The sequence below is a fragment of the Homo sapiens genome, chromosome 1, assembly GCF_000001405.40.
Source record: "Homo sapiens chromosome 1, GRCh38.p14 Primary Assembly".
NCBI classification, from domain to species: domain Eukaryota; kingdom Metazoa; phylum Chordata; class Mammalia; order Primates; family Hominidae; genus Homo; species Homo sapiens.
The window spans coordinates 120,829,370-120,849,650 of NC_000001.11; the positions used below are offsets into that span (position 1 = coordinate 120,829,370).

General features: G+C 45.2%; 1 protein-coding gene and 1 non-coding gene across 4 annotated transcripts in view, besides 2 other annotated features; one reads left to right on the plus strand and one right to left on the minus strand.

Annotated features, from left to right (window-relative positions):
- The window catches only part of NBPF26 (NBPF member 26), a 118,285-nt gene extending 105,425 nt beyond the window's left edge, over positions 1 to 12,860 (plus strand). For 2 of the 3 annotated variants that reach the window (NM_001351372.2, NM_001395637.2), the window contains 11 exons: positions 1,047 to 1,219; positions 1,929 to 1,980; positions 2,619 to 2,791; positions 3,506 to 3,614; positions 4,234 to 4,406; positions 5,126 to 5,177; positions 7,800 to 7,972; positions 8,682 to 8,733; positions 9,376 to 9,548; positions 10,263 to 10,371; positions 10,981 to 12,860. In NM_001351372.2, coding sequence (NP_001338301.2) covers positions 1,047 to 1,219; positions 1,929 to 1,980; positions 2,619 to 2,791; positions 3,506 to 3,614; positions 4,234 to 4,406; positions 5,126 to 5,177; positions 7,800 to 7,972; positions 8,682 to 8,733; positions 9,376 to 9,548; positions 10,263 to 10,371; positions 10,981 to 11,224 — 1,483 coding nt within the window. In that variant the 3' untranslated portion in view covers positions 11,225 to 12,860. Of the gene's footprint in view, positions 1 to 1,046; positions 1,220 to 1,928; positions 1,981 to 2,618; positions 2,792 to 3,505; positions 3,615 to 4,233; positions 4,407 to 5,125; positions 5,178 to 5,260; positions 5,434 to 7,147; positions 7,200 to 7,799; positions 7,973 to 8,681; positions 8,734 to 9,375; positions 9,549 to 10,262; positions 10,372 to 10,980 lie in introns of all 3 variants that reach the window. The other variant, NM_001405520.1, reaches the window with a different exon arrangement.
- Positions 14,858 to 14,997: a silencer, noted in NCBI's record as "silent region_1250". NCBI's record gives its function as "represses an Ori minimal core promoter by ATAC-STARR-seq in GM12878 lymphoblastoid cells {active_cell/tissue: GM12878}" and the evidence as "EXISTENCE:reporter gene assay evidence [ECO:0000049][PMID:35858748]".
- On the minus strand, positions 14,893 to 14,966 carry TRN-GTT7-1 (tRNA-Asn (anticodon GTT) 7-1). The gene has a single exon. It is a non-coding gene; the product is annotated as a tRNA-Asn (tRNA).
- Positions 15,078 to 15,177: an enhancer, noted in NCBI's record as "active region_1602". NCBI's record gives its function as "activates an Ori minimal core promoter by ATAC-STARR-seq in GM12878 lymphoblastoid cells {active_cell/tissue: GM12878}" and the evidence as "EXISTENCE:reporter gene assay evidence [ECO:0000049][PMID:35858748]".

Here is a 20,281-nt window from a genome sequence, read left to right on the forward strand (position 1 = left end):
CTCTAATTTCAGCGTCTAAAATCCTCGCTACCATGAACAATCTGAGTATTTGATGAGACAGGGCTGAATAGTGCAGTTTTTCTCCTAGCAACCATTTGGGGGCAATTGCTTTAAATCGATTGGAAAAATATGGCATAACCATTTGCACAAACTTGGGACAAATGATATTGGGATAACGATCTACCAGAATAGGGAATTTTACCCACAGTTTCTGGGACAAAAACCAAGGAATCTCTATGGTGATCAGCCTTCAGGCCTCCTGAAGAATATCTCTCACAGTGTCCTATTCTCATGCTGAGGAGCCTGAAGTCCCTGTGTGAAGATTAGACAGTGGATTGTTATGTGTGTAGGAGAACCAGCTTAATATATCTGTCCATGTCTGAACTTATTGCAGAAATTGAAAAGTACCAAGAAGTGGAAGAAGACCAAGACCCATCATGCCCCAGGTAACTTTGAGCAATTATGGATGCTTAATTCTGTGTTGACACCTGGAGATGCCAGGTCCAGGGAAAACAAGAGTGTGTTCAATTTCATGTTTTCAACGAAGGTTGAATTACTCCTACTGACATTGCTGTTGGTTTTCATTGCGGTAGATGTTTAGGTTTCCATTTCTTCCTCCCCTTATCATTTACTAACTTACTATAGGTTGACCATACCTCAAAGGCTGTATGGCAACTGCATGGAATCTTGAGCAAGTTTATGGAAAATTATTGAGTCCACTCTTTTCATGATCACTGTTCGCTGTGTGTCCCGAGGGCACTAACTCAGAGTGTCCTTTGACCCCTTCATCAGTGTGTCACCCGGCCAACTCGCTGAGCTCACTTTCTCCTCTCTCTCTCTCTCTCTGCCTCTCCCTGTCTTTCTCTTTCATTCTTTTCTACCTGGCCCTGGTCTATCCCAACCTAAAGGCAATAATTCATTACCTCATTAATGGATCTGTCCTTTTTCTTTTTAAACAGTTCCTTATGTTAGCCATGAAATCTAGCTGGGGCTGTGTGGTTTCTGATTCCCCCTGGCTTATTCTTTACTTTTTCCTACTTTTCCAGGCTCAGCAGGGAGCTGCTGGATGAGAAAGAGCCTGAAGTCTTGCAGGACTCACTGGGTAGATGTTATTCGACTCCTTCAGGTTATCTTGAACTGCCTGACTTAGGCCAGCCCTACAGCAGTGCTGTTTACTCATTGGAGGAACAGTACCTTGGCTTGGCTCTTGACGTGGACAGTGAGTACCTTACTATGAAGGTGATAAGCCTCCACCTGGTCTTCCAGATAGGGGTGATATTCCTGTTCCAAGTGGCCCTTACTGACCCGAGAGATGTCATTGCCGCAGGCAGGACCTATGGGCGCATATAGGTTGTAATGAAACTGTAGTCTCAGTTGGAAGCCTAGACATGAAATGGGTCAGTGAGCAAGGCTCCATTCCTAGTCTCCAGCCATGCCTGTGGCAACCTGAGCCCGCTCTCAGCACATTGGACCCAGGCAGATGTAAAAAATTCACAGAAGTATGATTTGGACTCAAGGGTTTGTAGATTTCCTCCTTCATTCTAATTTCAGTGTCTAAAATTCTTGCATCCATGAACGAGCTGGGCATTTGATGAGACAGGGCTGAATACTGCAGTTTTCCTCCTAGAAATCATCTGGGGCATTTTCTTTGAACTGATGGGAACAATAAGGCATAACTGTTTGCACAAACTTGGGATAAATGATTTTGGGATAACGATCTACCAGAATGGGGATATTTCACCCTTGGTTCTGAGATGCAAACCAAAGAATATCATGACCAGCTTTCAGGCCTCCTGAAGTATATCTCTCACATTGTCCTGTTCTCATGCTGAGGAGCCTGAGATCCCTGTGTGGGGATTAGACAGTGGACTGTTATGGGTGTAGGTGAATTGGCTTATTTTGTCTGTCCCTGTCTGAATGTATTGCAGGAATTAAAAAGGACCAAGAAGAGGAAGAAGACCAAGGCCCACCATGCCCCAGGTAACTGAGCAATTGTGAACAGCTACTTCTGTGTTGACATCTGGAGACTCCTGGTTCAGGGAAAACAGAGCGGGCTGACATTATCGATTACATCTTTTCAACCAAGCCTGAATTATTCCTACTAACATTGCTGTTGGTTTTCATTGCAGTAGATATTTAGGTTTCCATTTCTTCCTCCCCTTCTCATTTACTAACCTACTGTAGGTGGACCAGACTTCAAAAACTGTATTCTCATGGCGACTGCATGGAAACTTGAGCACATTTTATGGAAAATTATTGAGCACAGTCTTTTCATGATCCCTGTATGCTGTGTGTCCTGAGGGCACTAACTCAGAGTGTCCTGTTACTCCCTCATCAGTGTGTCACCTGGACAATTCACTGAGCTCGTTCTCTCTCTCTCTCTGTGTGTGTGTGTGTGTGTGTGTGTGTGTGTGTGTGTGTCTATCTGTCTTTCTCTTTCATTCTTTTCCATTTGGCCCTGTTCTGTCCCAACATGAAGGCAATAATTTGTTACCTCATTAATGGATCTATCCTTTTAGTTTTTTAACCACTTCCCTATGCTACCCATGAAACCTAGTTGGGGCTCTGTTGTGTCTGATTTCCCCTGGCTTATTCTTTACTTTTTCCTCCTTTTCCAGGCTCAGCAGGGAGCTGCTGGAGGTAGTAGAGCCTGAAGTCTTGCAGGACTCACTGGATAGATGTTATTCAACTCCTTCCAGTTGTCTTGAACAGCCTGACTCCTGCCAGCCCTATGGAAGTTCCTTTTATGCATTGGAGGAAAAACATGTTGGCTTTTCTCTTGACGTGGGAGGTGAGTACCTTTCTATGAAGGTGATAAGGATCCACTGAGTCTTCCATATAAAGATCATATTCCTGCTCCAAGTGGCCATTACTGAGCTGAGAGATGTCATTGCCACAGGGAGGACCTATACGCACATGTAGGTTGAATGAAACTCTAGTTCTACCTGGAAGCCCAGACAAGGGATGGGTCAGTGAGCAAGACTCTCTTCCTAGTCTCAGGCCATACCTGTGGCGCCCTGATCCTGTTCTCATGACATTGGACCTGGGCAGATGTGACAAATTCAGAGAACTATGATTTTGACTCAAGGGTTTGTAGATTTCCTTTTTCACTCTAATTTCAGTGTCTAAAGTCCTCACAACCATGAACAATCTGACTATTTGATGAGACAGGGCTAAATATTGCAGTTTTTCTCCTAGAAATCATTTGAGGGTATTTGCTTTAAGTTGATTGTAAAAATATGGCATAACTGTTTGCACAAACTTGGGACAAATGATATTGGGATAACGATCTACTAGAATAGGGACACTTTACCCACAGTTTCTGGGAGAAAAACCGAGGAATTTCTATCATGACCAGCCTTCAGGCCTCCTGAAATATATCTCTCACAGTGTCCTATTCTTATGCTGAGGAGCCTGAGGTCCCTGTGTGAGGATTAGACAGTGGATTGTTATGTGTGTAGGGGAATCAGCTTAATGTGTCTGTCCATGTCTGAATTTATTGCAGAAATTGAAAAGAAGGGGAAGGGGAAGAAAAGAAGGGGAAGAAGATCAAAGAAGGAAAGAAGAAGGGGAAGAAAAGAAGGGGAAGAAGATCAAAACCCACCATGCCCCAGGTGACTTTCGCAATTGTGGATGCTTAATTCTGTGTTAACACCTGGAGGCAACAGATTCAGGGAAACCAGAGTGTGTTTGATGTCATGTTTTCAACGAAGGCTGAATTACTCCTCCTGTCATTGCTGTTGGTTTTCATTGCAGTAGATGTTTAGGTTTCCATTTCTTCCTCCCCTTATCATTTACTAACGTACCACAGGTTGACCATACTTCAAAAGCTGTACTCTCATGGCCACTGCATCGAATTTTGAGCATATTTTATGGAAAACTATTGAGCTCACTCTTTTCATGATCACAGTTTGCTGTGTGTCATGAGGGCACTAACTCAGAGTGTCCTTTTACTCCATTACCAGTATGTCACCTGGCCAATTCACTAGGTCACTTTCTCTCTGTCTCTGTCTCTCTCTCTGTCTCTGTCTCTCTCTCTCTCTGTCTTTCTCTTTCATTGTTTTCTACCTGGCCCTGTTCTATCCCAACATAAAGGCAATAATTTGTTACCTCATTAATGGATCTGTCCTTTTTCTTTTCAAACTCTTCCTTACGTTAGCCATGAAATCTAGCTGGGGCTGTGTGGTTTCTGATTCCCCCTGGCTTATTCTTTACTTTTTCCCACTTTTCCAGGCTCAGCAGGGAGCTGCTGGATGAGAAAGGGCCTGAAGTCTTGCAGGACTCACTGGATAGATGTTATTCAACTCCTTCAGGTTGTCTTGAACTGACTGACTCATGCCAGCCCTACAGAAGTGCCTTTTACATATTGGAGCAACAGCGTGTTGGCTTGGCTGTTGACATGGATGGTGAGTACCTTTCTATGAAGGTGATAAGGATCCACTGAGTCTTCTGGTTAGGGTCATATTCCTACTGCAAGTGGCCCTTACTGAGCTGAGAGATGTCATTGCCACAGGGAGGACCTATAGGCACATGTAGGTTGAATGAAACTCTAGTTCCACTTGGAAGCCCAGACAAGGGATGGGTCAGTGAGCAAGGCTCTCTTCCTAGTCTCAGGCCATGCCTGTGGCACCCTAATCCCACTCTCATGACATTGGACCTGGGCAGATGTGACAAATTCACACAACTCTGATTTTGTCTCAATTTTGTAGATCTTGTAGATTTCATCCTTCACTCTAATTTCAGCGTCTAAAATCCTCACTACCATGAACAATCTGAGTATTTGATGAGACAGGGCTGAATAGTGCAGTTTTTCTCCTAGCAACCATTTGGGGGCATTTGCTTTAAATCGATTGGAAAAATATGGCATAACCATTTGCACAAACTTGGGACAAATGATATTGGGATAACGATCTACCAGAATAGGGAATTTTACCCACAGTTTCTGGGACAAAAACCAAGGAATCTCTATGGTGATCAGCCTTCAGGCCTCCTGAAGAATATCTCTCACAGTGTCCTATTCTCATGCTGAGGAGCCTGAAGTCCCTGTGTGAGGATTAGACAGTGGATTGTTATGTGTGTAGGAGAACCAGCTTAATATATCTGTCCATGTCTGAACTTATTGCAGAAATTGAAAAGTACCAAGAAGTGGAAGAAGACCAAGACCCATCATGCCCCAGGTAACTTTACCCATGAACCTAGTTGGGGCTCTGTTGTGTCTGATTTCCCCTGGCTTATTCTTTACTTTTTCCTCCTTTTCCAGGCTCAGCAGGGAGCTGCTGGAGGTAGTAGAGCCTGAAGTCTTGCAGGACTCACTGGATAGATGTTATTCAACTCCTTCCAGTTGTCTTGAACAGCCTGACTCCTGCCAGCCCTATGGAAGTTCCTTTTATGCATTGGAGGAAAAACATGTTGGCTTTTCTCTTGACGTGGGAGGTGAGTACCTTTCTATGAAGGTGATAAGGATCCACTGAGTCTTCCATATAAAGATCATATTCCTGCTCCAAGTGGCCATTACTGAGCTGAGAGATGTCATTGCCACAGGGAGGACCTATACGCACATGTAGGTTGAATGAAACTCTAGTTCTACCTGGAAGCCCAGACAAGGGATGGGTCAGTGAGCAAGACTCTCTTCCTAGTCTCAGGCCATACCTGTGGCGCCCTGATCCTATTCTCATGACATTGGACCTGGGCAGATGTGACAAATTCAGAGAACTATGATTTTGACTCAAGGGTTTGTAGATTTCCTTTTTCACTCTAATTTCAGTGTCTAAAGTCCTCACAACCATGAACAATCTGACTATTTGATGAGACAGGGCTAAATATTGCAGTTTTTCTCCTAGAAATCATTTGAGGGTATTTGCTTTAAGTTGATTGTAAAAATATGGCATAACTGTTTGCACAAATTTGGGACAAATGATATTGGGATAACGATCTACTAGAATAGGGACATTTTACCCACAGTTTCTGGGAGAAAAACCGAGGAATTTCTATCATGACCAGCCTTCAGGCCTCCTGAAATATATCTCTCACAGTGTCCTATTCTTATGCTGAGGAGCCTGAGGTCCCTGTGTGAGGATTAGACAGTGGATTGTTATGTGTGTAGGGGAATCAGCTTAATGTGTCTGTCCATGTCTGAATTTATTGCAGAAATTGAAAAGAAGGGGAAGGGGAAGAAAAGAAGGGGAAGAAGATCAAAGAAGGAAAGAAGAAGGGGAAGAAAAGAAGGGGAAGAAGATCAAAACCCACCATGCCCCAGGTGACTTTCAGCAATTGTGGATGCTTAATTCTGTGTTAACACCTGGAGGCAACAGATTCAGGGAAACCAGAGTGTGTTTGATGTCATGTTTTCAACGAAGGCTGAATTACTCCTCCTGTCATTGCTGTTGGTTTTCATTGCAGTAGATGTTTAGGTTTCCATTTCTTCCTCCCCTTATCATTTACTAACGTACCACAGGTTGACCATACTTCAAAAGCTGTACTCTCATGGCCACTGCATCGAATTTTGAGCATATTTTATGGAAAACTATTGAGCTCACTCTTTTCATGATCACAGTTTGCTGTGTGTCATGAGGGCACTAACTCAGAGTGTCCTTTTACTCCATTACCAGTATGTCACCTGGCCAATTCACTAGGTCACCCATGCCTGTGGCACCCTAATCCTACTCTCATGACATTGGACCTGGGCAGATGTGACAAATTCACACAACTCTGATTTTGTCTCAATTTTGTAGATCTTGTAGATTTCATCCTTCACTCTAATTTCAGCGTCTAAAATCCTCACTACCATGAACAATCTGAGTATTTGATGAGACAGGGCTGAATAGTGCAGTTTTTCTCCTAGCAACCATTTGGGGGCATTTGCTTTAAATCGATTGGAAAAATATGGCATAACCATTTGCACAAACTTGGGACAAATGATATTGGGATAACGATCTACCAGAATAGGGAATTTTACCCACAGTTTCTGGGACAAAAACCAAGGAATCTCTATGGTGATCAGCCTTCAGGCCTCCTGAAGAATATCTCTCACAGTGTCCTATTCTCATGCTGAGGAGCCTGAAGTCCCTGTGTGAGGATTAGACAGTGGATTGTTATGTGTGTAGGAGAACCAGCTTAATATGTCTGTCCATGTCTGAACTTATTGCAGAAATTGAAAAGTACCAAGAAGTGGAAGAAGACCAAGACCCATCATGCCCCAGGTAACTTTGAGCAATTATGGATGCTTAATTCTGTGTTGACACCTGGAGATGCCAGGTCCAGGGAAAACAAGAGTGTGTTCAATTTCATGTTTTCAACGAAGGTTGAATTACTCCTACTGACATTGCTGTTGGTTTTCATTGCGGTAGATGTTTAGGTTTCCATTTCTTCCTCCCCTTATCATTTACTAACTTACTATAGGTTGACCATACCTCAAAGGCTGTATGGCAACTGCATGGAATCTTGAGCAAGTTTATGGAAAATTATTGAGCCCACTCTTTTCATGATCACTGTTCGCTGTGTGTCCCGAGGGCACTAACTCAGAGTGTCCTTTGACCCCTTCATCAGTGTGTCACCCGGCCAACTCGCTGAGCTCACTTTCTCCTCTCTCTCTCTCTCTCTGCCTCTCCCTGTCTTTCTCTTTCATTCTTTTCTACCTGGCCCTGGTCTATCCCAACCTAAAGGCAATAATTCATTACCTCATTAATGGATCTGTCCTTTTTCTTTTTAAACAGTTCCTTATGTTAGCCATGAAATCTAGCTGGAGCTGTGTGGTTTCTGATTCCCCCTGGCTTATTCTTTACTTTTTCCTACTTTTCCAGGCTCAGCAGGGAGCTGCTGGATGAGAAAGAGCCTGAAGTCTTGCAGGACTCACTGGGTAGATGTTATTCGACTCCTTCAGGTTATCTTGAACTGCCTGACTTAGGCCAGCCCTACAGCAGTGCTGTTTACTCATTGGAGGAACAGTACCTTGGCTTGGCTCTTGACGTGGACAGTGAGTACCTTACTATGAAGGTGATAAGCCTCCACCTGGTCTTCCAGATAGGGGTGATATTCCTGTTCCAAGTGGCCCTTACTGACCCGAGAGATGTCATTGCCGCAGGCAGGACCTATGGGCGCATATAGGTTGTAATGAAACTGTAGTCTCAGTTGGAAGCCTAGACATGAAATGGGTCAGTGAGCAAGGCTCCATTCCTAGTCTCCAGCCATGCCTGTGGCAACCTGAGCCCGCTCTCAGCACATTGGACCCAGGCAGATGTAAAAAATTCACAGAAGTATGATTTGGACTCAAGGGTTTGTAGATTTCCTCCTTCATTCTAATTTCAGTGTCTAAAATTCTTGCATCCATGAACGAGCTGGGCATTTGATGAGACAGGGCTGAATACTGCAGTTTTCCTCCTAGAAATCATCTGGGGCATTTTCTTTGAACTGATGGGAACAATAAGGCATAACTGTTTGCACAAACTTGGGATAAATGATTTTGGGATAACGATCTACCAGAATGGGGATATTTCACCCTTGGTTCTGAGATGCAAACCAAAGAATATCATGACCAGCTTTCAGGCCTCCTGAAGTACATCTCTCACATTGTCCTGTTCTCATGCTGAGGAGCCTGAGATCCCTGTGTGGGGATTAGACAGTGGACTGTTATGGGTGTAGGTGAATTGGCTTATTTTGTCTGTCCCTGTCTGAATGTATTGCAGGAATTAAAAAGGACCAAGAAGAGGAAGAAGACCAAGGCCCACCATGCCCCAGGTAACTGAGCAATTGTGAACAGCTACTTCTGTGTTGACATCTGGAGACTCCTGGTTCAGGGAAAACAGAGCGGGCTGACATTATCGATTACATCTTTTCAACCAAGCCTGAATTATTCCTACTAACATTGCTGTTGGTTTTCATTGCAGTAGATATTTAGGTTTCCATTTCTTCCTCCCCTTCTCATTTACTAACCTACTGTAGGTGGACCAGACTTCAAAAACTGTATTCTCATGGCGACTGCATGGAAACTTGAGCACATTTTATGGAAAATTATTGAGCACAGTCTTTTCATGATCCCTGTATGCTGTGTGTCCTGAGGGCACTAACTCAGAGTGTCCTGTTACTCCCTCATCAGTGTGTCACCTGGACAATTCACTGAGCTCGTTCTCTCTCTCTCTCTCTCTGTGTGTGTGTGTGTGTGTGTGTGTGTGTGTGTGTGTGTCTATCTGTCTTTCTCTTTCATTCTTTTCCATTTGGCCCTGTTCTGTCCCAACATGAAGGCAATAATTTGTTACCTCATTAATGGATCTATCCTTTTAGTTTTTTAACCACTTCCCTATGCTACCCATGAAACCTAGTTGGGGCTCTGTTGTGTCTGATTTCCCCTGGCTTATTCTTTACTTTTTCCTCCTTTTCCAGGCTCAGCAGGGAGCTGCTGGAGGTAGTAGAGCCTGAAGTCTTGCAGGACTCACTGGATAGATGTTATTCAACTCCTTCCAGTTGTCTTGAACAGCCTGACTCCTGCCAGCCCTATGGAAGTTCCTTTTATGCATTGGAGGAAAAACATGTTGGCTTTTCTCTTGACGTGGGAGGTGAGTACCTTTCTATGAAGGTGATAAGGATCCACTGAGTCTTCCATATAAAGATCATATTCCTGCTCCAAGTGGCCATTACTGAGCTGAGAGATGTCATTGCCACAGGGAGGACCTATACGCACATGTAGGTTGAATGAAACTCTAGTTCTACCTGGAAGCCCAGACAAGGGATGGGTCAGTGAGCAAGACTCTCTTCCTAGTCTCAGGCCATACCTGTGGCGCCCTGATCCTATTCTCATGACATTGGACCTGGGCAGATGTGACAAATTCAGAGAACTATGATTTTGACTCAAGGGTTTGTAGATTTCCTTTTTCACTCTAATTTCAGTGTCTAAAGTCCTCACAACCATGAACAATCTGACTATTTGATGAGACAGGGCTAAATATTGCAGTTTTTCTCCTAGAAATCATTTGAGGGTATTTGCTTTAAGTTGATTGTAAAAATATGGCATAACTGTTTGCACAAATTTGGGACAAATGATATTGGGATAACGATCTACTAGAATAGGGACATTTTACCCACAGTTTCTGGGAGAAAAACCGAGGAATTTCTATCATGACCAGCCTTCAGGCCTCCTGAAATATATCTCTCACAGTGTCCTATTCTTATGCTGAGGAGCCTGAGGTCCCTGTGTGAGGATTAGACAGTGGATTGTTATGTGTGTAGGGGAATCAGCTTAATGTGTCTGTCCATGTCTGAATTTATTGCAGAAATTGAAAAGAAGGGGAAGGGGAAGAAAAGAAGGGGAAGAAGATCAAAGAAGGAAAGAAGAAGGGGAAGAAAAGAAGGGGAAGAAGATCAAAACCCACCATGCCCCAGGTGACTTTCAGCAATTGTGGATGCTTAATTCTGTGTTAACACCTGGAGGCAACAGATTCAGGGAAACCAGAGTGTGTTTGATGTCATGTTTTCAACGAAGGCTGAATTACTCCTACTGTCATTGCTGTTGGTTTTCATTGCAGTAGATGTTTAGGTTTCCATTTCTTCCTCCCCTTATCATTTACTAACGTACCACAGGTTGACCATACTTCAAAAGTTGTACTCTCATGGCCACTGCATCGAATTTTGAGCATATTTTATGGAAAACTATTGAGCTCACTCTTTTCATGATCACAGTTTGCTGTGTGTCATGAGGGCACTAACTCAGAGTGTCCTTTGACTCCCTTACCAGTATGTCACCTGGCCAATTCACTAGGTCACTTTCTCTCTGTCTCTGTCTCTGTCTCTCTCTCTGTCTTTCTCTTTCATTGTTTTCTACCTGGCCCTGTTCTATCCCAACATAAAGGCAATAAATTTTTTTTTTACCTCATTAATGGATCTATCCTTTTTCTTTTCTAACCACTTCCTTATGTTACTTCTGAAATCTAGTGGGGCTCTGTGGTGTCCGATTTTCCCTGGCTGCTTCTTTAGTTTTGTCTCCTTTTGCAGGCTCAACAGCATGCTGATGGAAGTGGAAGAGCCTGAAGTCTTGCAGGACTCACTGGATATATGTTATTCGACTCCGTCAATGTACTTTGAACTACCTGACTCATTCCAGCACTACAGAAGTGTGTTTTACTCATTTGAGGAAGAGCATATCAGCTTCGCCCTTTACGTGGACAATAGGTTTTTTACTTTGACGGTGACAAGTCTCCACCTGGTGTTCCAGATGGGAGTCATATTCCCACAATAAGCAGCCCTTACTAAGCCGAGAGGTGTCATTCCTGCAGGCAGGACCTATAGGCACGTGAAGATTTGAATGAAAGTACAGTTCCATTTGGAAGCCCAGACATAGGATGGTTCAGTGGGCATGGCTCTATTCCTATTCTCAAACCATGCCAGTGGCAACCTGTGCTCAGTCTGAAGACAATGGACCCACGTTAGGTGTGACACGTTCACATAACTGTGCAGCACATGCCGGGAGTGATCAGTCAGACATTTTAATTTGAACCACGTATCTCTGGGTAGCTACAAAATTCCTCAGGGATGTCATTTTGCAGGCATGTCTCTGAGCTTCTATACCTGCTCAAGGTCATTGTCATCTTTGTGTTTAGCTCATCCAAAGGTGTTACCCTGGTTTCAATGAACCTAACCTCATTCTTTGTGTCTTCAGTGTTGGCTTGTTTTAGCTGATCCATCTGTAACACAGGAGGGATCCTTGGCTGAGGATTGTATTTCAGAACCACCAACTGCTCTTGACAATTGTTAACCCGCTAGGCTCCTTTGGTTAGAGAAGCCACAGTCCTTCAGCCTCCAATTGGTGTCAGTACTTAGGAAGACCACAGCTAGATGGACAAACAGCATTGGGAGGCCTTAGCCCTGCTCCTCTCAATTCCATCCTGTAGAGAACAGGAGTCAGGAGCCGCTGGCAGGAGACAGCATGTCACCCAGGACTCTGCCGGTGCAGAATATGAGCAATGCCATGTTCTTGCAGAAAACGCTTAACCTGAGTTTCATAGGAGGTAATCACCAGACAACTGCAGAATGTAGAACACTGAGCAGGACAACTGACCTGTCTCCTTCACATAGTCCATATCACCACAAATCACACAACAAAAAGGAGAAGAGATATTTTCGGTTGAAAAAAAGTAAAAAGATAATGTAGCTGCATTTCTTTAGTTATTTTGAACCCCAAATATTTCCTCATCTTTTTGTTGTTGTCATGGATGGTGGTGACATGGACTTGTTTATAGAGGACAGGTCAGCTGTCTGGCTCAATGATCTACATTCTGAAGTTGTCTGAAAATGTCTTCATGATTAAATTCAGCCTAAACGTTTTGCCGGGAACACTGCAGAGACAATGCTGTGAGTTTCCAACCTCAGCCCATCTGCGGGCAGAGAAGGTCTAGTTTGTCCATCACCATTATGATATCAGGACTGGTTACTTGGTTAAGGAGGGGTCTAGGAGATCTGTCCCTTTTAGAGACACCTTACTTATAATGAAGTACTTGGGAAAGCAGTTTTCAAGAGTATAAATATCCTGTATTCTAATGATCATCCTCTAAACATTTTATCATTTATTAATCCTCCCTGCCTGTGTCTATTATTATATTCATATCTCTACACTGCAAATTTTGGGTCTCAATTTTTACTGTGCCTTTGTTTTTACTAGTGTCTGCTGTTGCAAAAAGAAGAAAACATTCTCTGCCTGAGTTTTAATTTTTGTCCAAAGTTAATTTTAATCTATACAATTAAAACCTTTTGCTATCACTCTGGACTTTTGGATTGTTTTTTACATTCAGTGTTATAATATTTGATTATGCTGATTGGTTTTGGTGGGTACTGATGCGAATTAATAAAAACATTTCATTTCCATGTTTATTTTCTAATCTCTTCCACATTGTAGGCTATGTTTACCATACGTAGCAGAATGTATTTACATTGCTTGGTTCTAGTCATTTGTATTCTTCGTGAGTGTGAGTGTGTGTGTGTGTGTCTGTGTGTGTGTCTGTGTGTGCCTTTGGCATTTAGGAAGGGTTGTATAGCTCATGTTAAATATTGCACTAAAAATGTTTTTGATGGTTTTCCTCCCTTTGAAATAGACACACTTCTAATATTTGGTTTATAGTTTTAAATTATAACTTTCAGCATCAAATATTTCCATACAACAGTCAATTACATGATGTGTTTTCTTTTTCCTACCTCCTTTACCTGCCACTTCTCATAATAGTATTTGAACCTAAACATATACCGGTGACATTCTGTGATTATCATCTTGCCCCTACCTTGGTTTTGGTTTTTGGTGCAGTTCCAGGCTCTTGGTGTCTTTGTTTGGGACACCAAGAGCCTGGAACTGCACGGCACCAGCTGGTAAGAATTAGGCTTTTTTGGCCGGGCGCGGTGGCTTATGCCTGTAATCCCAGCACTTTGCGAGGCCAAGGCGGGCGGATCACGAGGTCAGGAAATCGAGACCATCCTGGCTAACACGGTAAAACCCCATCTCTACTAAAAGTAAAAAAAATTAGCCGAGCGTGTTGGCGGGCGCCTGTAGTCCCAGCTACTCGGGAGGCTGAGGCAGGAGAATGGCCTGAACCCGGGAGGCGGAGCTTGCAGTGAGCCGAGATCGCGCCACTGCACTCCAGCCTGGGCGACAGAGAGAGACTCCGTCTCAAAAAAAAAAAAACGGCTTTTTTTTTTCCCTAAGGGTTAACAACAAACCAGCCCTATGGAAAGACTTGCTTCACCACTGTTATCAACCAACGGCCTGATGCTTTTCCTCAGTTTTGTGATTTTGACAAAACAAGCAAGCAGCATTCCCTCCTGATAAGAGACCACCGACCTAGGAATGATTCTGGCCAGACTAGAGAGGATGCACAGTGAGGGTTTTCATGTCCTCTGCTTCAGCTTTTGATGTCAGAGGGCCACAAACTCCACTCTCAGATGATTGCTAATGCCACCATTTTATGAACATGGGCCCCATGGAGAGGCACGAAGCTCAGTTGCACTTCTGCACATTTTTCCTCCTATAAATATTGCTATTGGAATATTATTTGGTACGGCTCCCGTGAAAGATACATTTGCGGAATGTACTCAAATTAGAAGCATCATGTAAACCCTATAATGTAGCAATAGTGCATCAACTTCCCTACACTATAGAAATATCTGCGGTGTAGACATTTCCACAATGACCAAAGATATGTGTACAAGAAAGGTGGCTGCAGCATTCTTTGTAATCCTAAAACAATGAAACCTACCTCATCTCAAAAACTTTATTTTTTTATTTTTATTTTTTTTGAGATGGAGTCTCGCTCTGTTGCCCAGGCGGGAGTGTAGCGGTGCAGCCTCCACTGGTGCAGCCTCCACTGCAGCCTCCACCTCCCAGGTTCAAATGATTCTCCTGCCTCAGAATCCCAAGTACCTGAGATTACAGGCACATGCCACCATGCCTGGCTAACAAAAACATTTTGAAAAGGGTTAAATAAATCATGCACAAACTGAGGAAAAATACTCTTTTCAAAAATGATGGAGAGGATCACTATGATGATGAATGATTCCACTGGTCACATTATTGATAGAGCAATCAGTAAATCCAGGCACATCCTCGGGATATTACTGACCTCCTATTATTAAAATATGAAAAAATGGAGGCATGTAAATTACTCGTTTAAGCGTATAACGGACTGAATTAGAATTTTATCACACCAGAAGTGGGTTCCTAGGTCTCTGTTTCAGGATTCCTGAGTTACACACGTATAAACCCAGGATTTCAGGAGATACCCGGTTAAGAATCCGGTCGGGGAGGTAGGCTGGCCCTTGACATGGATAAGTCACAAATTAGTGGCTTAGGACTCCAGGAAGATAAAATTTTCCCCATTTATCTAGTGATTGACAATGCATGAATACTTTAAAAGCTCGAACAACCGTTCCTGGGTGGGCTCGAACCACCAACCTTTCGGTTAACAGCCGAACGCGCTAACCGACTACGCCACAGAGACAGGTACTGTCAGTCAGTTCTACTGGGCGCTATAGGAAGGGCGCACGCACGAAACTTCCTCCGTCCCTTGCATCCTCAGGGCCCGCCCGGCAGGACGACTGAGCAAGGCCTTGGAAGACCGGAGAGATTGGAGTGGTAAGTCGCGCTGGTCACGTTGGACACCTGCGCATTGGGAGATTCTGGAGCCAGAAGGATAGCCGAATGGCCTTGGCCCGCCCTGCCCCTCGCCTGCTTCAGAAACCCCCGGAAACGCCCCGGTTGAGACCCCGGCCCGAGCCGCCTGGGGGCCCTAGGGAGGCTGAACGCCCGGTGGCTCCCGGGATGGCTCTTCCCGTTCTTTGCGCCGACTTCACCCAGTGAGGGAGCCTGTGCCCTCCCTGCCCAGTCGCTTTTGGGGCCGCTGCGGAGCTTCCGCTGCCATCTTCGGATCCTGTGTTCCGCACGGGGGCTCCACCAGAGCAGGGATCGTGGTGAGGGTGGCTCGTGGGTCCCCCTCGTGGGGAGCAGGGTCTGGCACTCACCAGGGCGCAGGACTAGGACTTGTCGAATGAATCCATCCTTTTAGCTTTTAGTCCTTTGAAGAGCCTTGAGAATGGAAATCATGAGAGATTTTTCCATGGGGAAGTTCCTTTTACAAAGCATTTATTTACGTTGACTTCTTGGCACCCCGCGGGGCGGCAACGGGCAGGGCCTCCAGTGCACCTTCTGCGCCGTGGAGCCGCGGGGGCTCAGCTGGGCGGTGGTCGGGTCCTGAGGCCGGAGGGCGGGAGCAGGGGAAGGGAAAAGCAAAAGCGGTGAAAGAAGCCGGGGAGCGGTGGACCAGACGTCCAGACCTCCTGAAAGGCTGGCGGGGAGGCACAGGCGGGATCTTCCGGAGGTGAGAATTTTTTTTTATTATAGCAGAATGGGGAGGAATTGAGGGGAAAATGGAGATAGAACCTGAAAGAGCCCCAAACGCCAGAACCTGTAGCTCCCCAAGAATAAGATCTTCCAGAAGAACTAGACCCAAAACTAGCCGTTGGGGAACACCGAAATCCTTGGAGGAGCAACATCCGCATGACCCTCTGTGTTCCTTTAGGCAAAAGGACTTGCTTCCATTGTTTGTTCAATTGTTTGTGTTTGTTAAATAAATAAAACGATTTTCATGTATCTTTGAAATTACTTTGGCGCTACTATTTTATGATTGCAAATAATGCGGCAGTGATCATTCTTGTACACTTCTCATTGGCCATTTGTGTATTTCTATAGGGTAGAGGCCTGGAGAGCAGTTGCTCCAGCATAGGGATTACACAGTTTTTGTTTGTTTATTTATTTATTTATTTTTGAGACAGAGTCTCGCTCTGTCACCCAGGCTGGAGTGCAGTGGCGCCATCTCAGCTCTCACTGCAACCTCCGCCTCCCGGGTTCAAGCGAATCTCCTGCTTCAGCCTCCCAAGTAGCTGAGATTACAGGTCCGCGCGAGCCACCACATCGGGCTAATTTTTGTATTTTTAGTAGAGACGGGGTTTCACCGTTTTGGCCAGGCAGGTCTCAAACTCCTGACCTCAAGTGATCTGCCTGCCTTGGCCTCTCAAAGTGCTGGGATTACAGGCATGAGCCACCGCACCCAGCGATTACATTTTTTTTTAATATATATCATTCTATTTTCTTTCCTTATTTGGCTTATTAGCTGTAACTCTTTCTTTTGTTATGTCAGTGATGGCTTTAGGGTCCCTAGAATACATCTTTATCTGTCTGCCATCAAGTGACATTATACCTCCCCTTCTGGCCTTTATGCTAGTGTTGTCAGGGAATTTGATTTTGGACATGTTATAAACCCCAACATCCAAGTACGTACATAGCGATTTTCAGTCGTCTCCATTTCTTTGTGTAGGTTCAGATTTCTGTTTGGTATCCTTATCCTTAGGCCTGGAGGACTCCTTTAATATTTCTTGTAGTGTGGTTCGGTGAATTCTGTCATTTTTTTGTATGTCTTTAAATGTCCTGATTTCAGTCACATTTTTGAAAGATATTTCAATTTGGCATAGAATTCTAGAATAACTTTTTTTCTCTCAGTACTTTAGGATGTTGCCACTTTGACGCTTTGTCATTGACATATCTTTCCTGTTTTTGTAAACTTGGCATAAAGTGGGTTTCCTGTACTTGTTATATGATTTTTGGATTGTGTATTCAAATTAAAAGTATTAAATTAAAATTAAAATGGCCTGGGTGAGGTGGCTCACACCTGTAATCCCAGCACTTTGGGAAGGGGAGGCAGAGGATCGCTTGAGACCCAGAGTTGGAGACCACCCTGGGCAAGATAGCAAGACCCTGTGTGTGTGTGTGTGTGTGTGTGTGTGTATACACATAAATATGTATATATATTATATGTATGTATGTATATATAAGTCCTACAGTCACCTTAAGTTCCACCAACAGTGCGCTTAAGGTAAAATGTGCCCAACCTGAGGCTCAAACCTACCTGCTGGCACGCAATTTGTGTTTGTGAGACAATCTCAACAGCATTTGCTTTTTCTAGCATAGTGGTTTTCCTGTTTTCCTCACATGTGAATGTCTTCAGTGCAAAACCTGTCAGAATTCATTTCCTTTGCTAAAATGTTTTAAAATAACTCTTACTTCAAGTAAGTGCATTAAAAATAAACTTCTCAGTTGCATCCCTGGAATCCATGGAAAGTCCAGGAGAGACAATCAAGTGATACAGGATCAAGCCCAAACAGAACAGGACTAGGCATGGCTTCCTCACTAGGAGCCAGGCCAAAGTCATCTCCTTTGGTCTCCAATGGAGGCCAGAACTCGGTTCACCTGCAACGGGAGGACCTGGCCCAGAAGAGGTGGCCTTCATCTTCATGGTGCCTTCAGATAGGAAATCTAGGATTTCTTTTCTTCTCTTTCATCTACTTCCAACTCTCCCTTTCTATTTATTTATTTATTTATTTATTTATTTATTTATTTGAGACAGAGTCTTGCTGTGTTGCCCAGGCTAGAGTGCAGCGGGGCAGTCTCAGCTCACTGCACCTCCGCCTCCTGGGTTCTAGAGATTCTCCTGCTTCAGCCTCCTGAGTAGCTGGGATTACAGGCGCCCGTCACCGCGCCCGGCTACTTGTTGTATTTTTAGTAGAGACAGGGCTTCACCATCTTGGCCAGGCTGGTCTCGAACTCGTGACCTCGTGATCCACCCACCTCGGCCTCCCAAAGTGCTGGGATTACAGGCGTGAGCCACCGCATCTGGCCCTCCCTTTCTATTTCTTCAAGACCTTTTTCGGATCCCTCCTGCGCAGGACCTAAACGGGCGGTGCCCTTACCCACTGGTCCCTCCCTGCCTGCTGTCTTCGGAGCCCTAGCTCACCCGGAACGTTACTGCCCGCCGGTGACAGCGAGAGGACCAAAGAGGGCAGCGGGTGCGGTGGGATCCACAGAGTCACCGCGCACCTGCTCCTCGCGGGCTCCTCGCAAATTGAATAAACGCCCCCTGAAGCTTCTCTTCAAGTCACAGGGAAGGGGAAGGTGGCTGCCGACCCGGCGGGAGAAGCCGGCCCTGCCCCTGGTCCTTGAAGACAGGTTTGGCCAGGCTGATTTTGACTGGTAGGCCCAAAGAAAAGCCTCAAGGGCAGACCAAACTCCGACAGGCTCCGAGATTAAGGCTTTCAAACGTCTGATCGTTTTCAGCTTGGTCAGTAAAATCGATCTCGCCTTTATCAGGAGATTCCTTTGCCAAAGTTCAGAGACCTGGGGTTCCAGCTGCTTGCCACACAGAAAACCAATCACTGAGATGGTTATTGCCAAGGAAGAGGCTTTAATAGGGTGCTGCAGCGGAGGAGATGAGAACTCAGTCTCAAATCCATCTCCCTGACCAACCAAAACTAGAGGCTTAGATGGCAGGGAAAGAATGTGACAATGTGTAAGAAAACAGGAACTAGACCAGGCGCGGTGGCTCACGCCTGTAATCCCAGCACTTTGGGAGGCCGAGGGGGGCGGATCACGAGGTCAGGAGATCGAGACCATCCTGGCTAACACGGTGAAACCCCGTCTCTACTAGAAATACGAAAAGAAATTAGCCGGGCTTGGTGGCGGGCGCCTGTAGTCCCAGCTACTCGGGAGGCTGAGGCAGGAGAATGGCGTGAACCCGGGAGGCGGAGCTTGCAGTGAGCCAAGATAGCGCCACTGCACTCCAGCCTGGGAGGCAGAGGGAGACTCTGTCTCAAAAAGAAAAAAAAAGAAAAAAGAAAAGAAAGAAAACAGGAACTAGGGAGGGGCAAGGAAGCAATCAGGATGAATGAGGGGTCCGGCATCTCATTGTCTGGGTGACTTTCAGTTCTTTGATATCTTTTTTGAGAGGCCTGAAGGAAGGAACTCAAATAAAACAAATATCGAGTTTCAAACTTTCAGATCAGAAGGGTCCATTTCTATGTTTATCCAAAAATCTACGTATGGGACTATTGGGTGGGTTTCAGACCAAGAAAGAGTGTGCATATCAAAGTCTGCGGTTAACCAAAGAGAAAACATAATTTTCCGACCAATAGGATGTATGGGGGTCAAAGAACGACCAGCCTACAGTACTGTTTATTGGCCTGAGCATACGGAAGGATGAAGTTGCACCAGCGAAATGGGATTAAGCTGCAGGTGCGGGCTGGGCGCGGTAGCTCACACCTGTAATCCCAGCACTCTGGGAGGCTGAGGTGGGTGGATCACTTGAGATCAGGAGTTTGAGACCAGCCTGACCAACATGGTGAAACCTCGTCTCTAATAAAAATACAAAAATTAGCCGGGCGTCATGGCGGGCACCTGTAGTCCCAGCTACTAGGGAGGCCGAGGCAGGAGAATTGCTTGAACCCGGGAGATGGAGGTTTTAACGAGCCGAAATTGCGCCACTGCCCTCCAGCCCGGGCAACAGACCGAGACCCCTTCTCAAGCAAAAATAAAAACAAAAAGCTGCAGGTGGAAAAAAAAGTCTGGATTTTGGTTCAGAGCCCCTGGGGCCTTCCTCAGTAGTTTTCTCTTTCCTTGAAAAAGGAAGCCTGTCTCAGTCTCTGCATCTCTCTGAGTCCTTTTGGAGATTGAGGATGGTGAGGTCTCAGTGCTTGGCCCCCTTCTAACTCTGGGTACCTCCCCTCCCGTGGTCAACCTGGTCCAGTGCACAGGCCCCAGCTCCGACGACCATCTCCCCCCTACCCTTTGCTCCCAGCAAAGGCCATTTCTAGGTCAGTCGTGAGGTACAGCCAGGACAGGGCAGCTCGCTCCGAGATTTTTGGCTCTCGAAGGCCTTGAGCGCTGTGGTTCTGCAGAACGCTGTCTGCCTCTTGTGGAGGAACTGACACC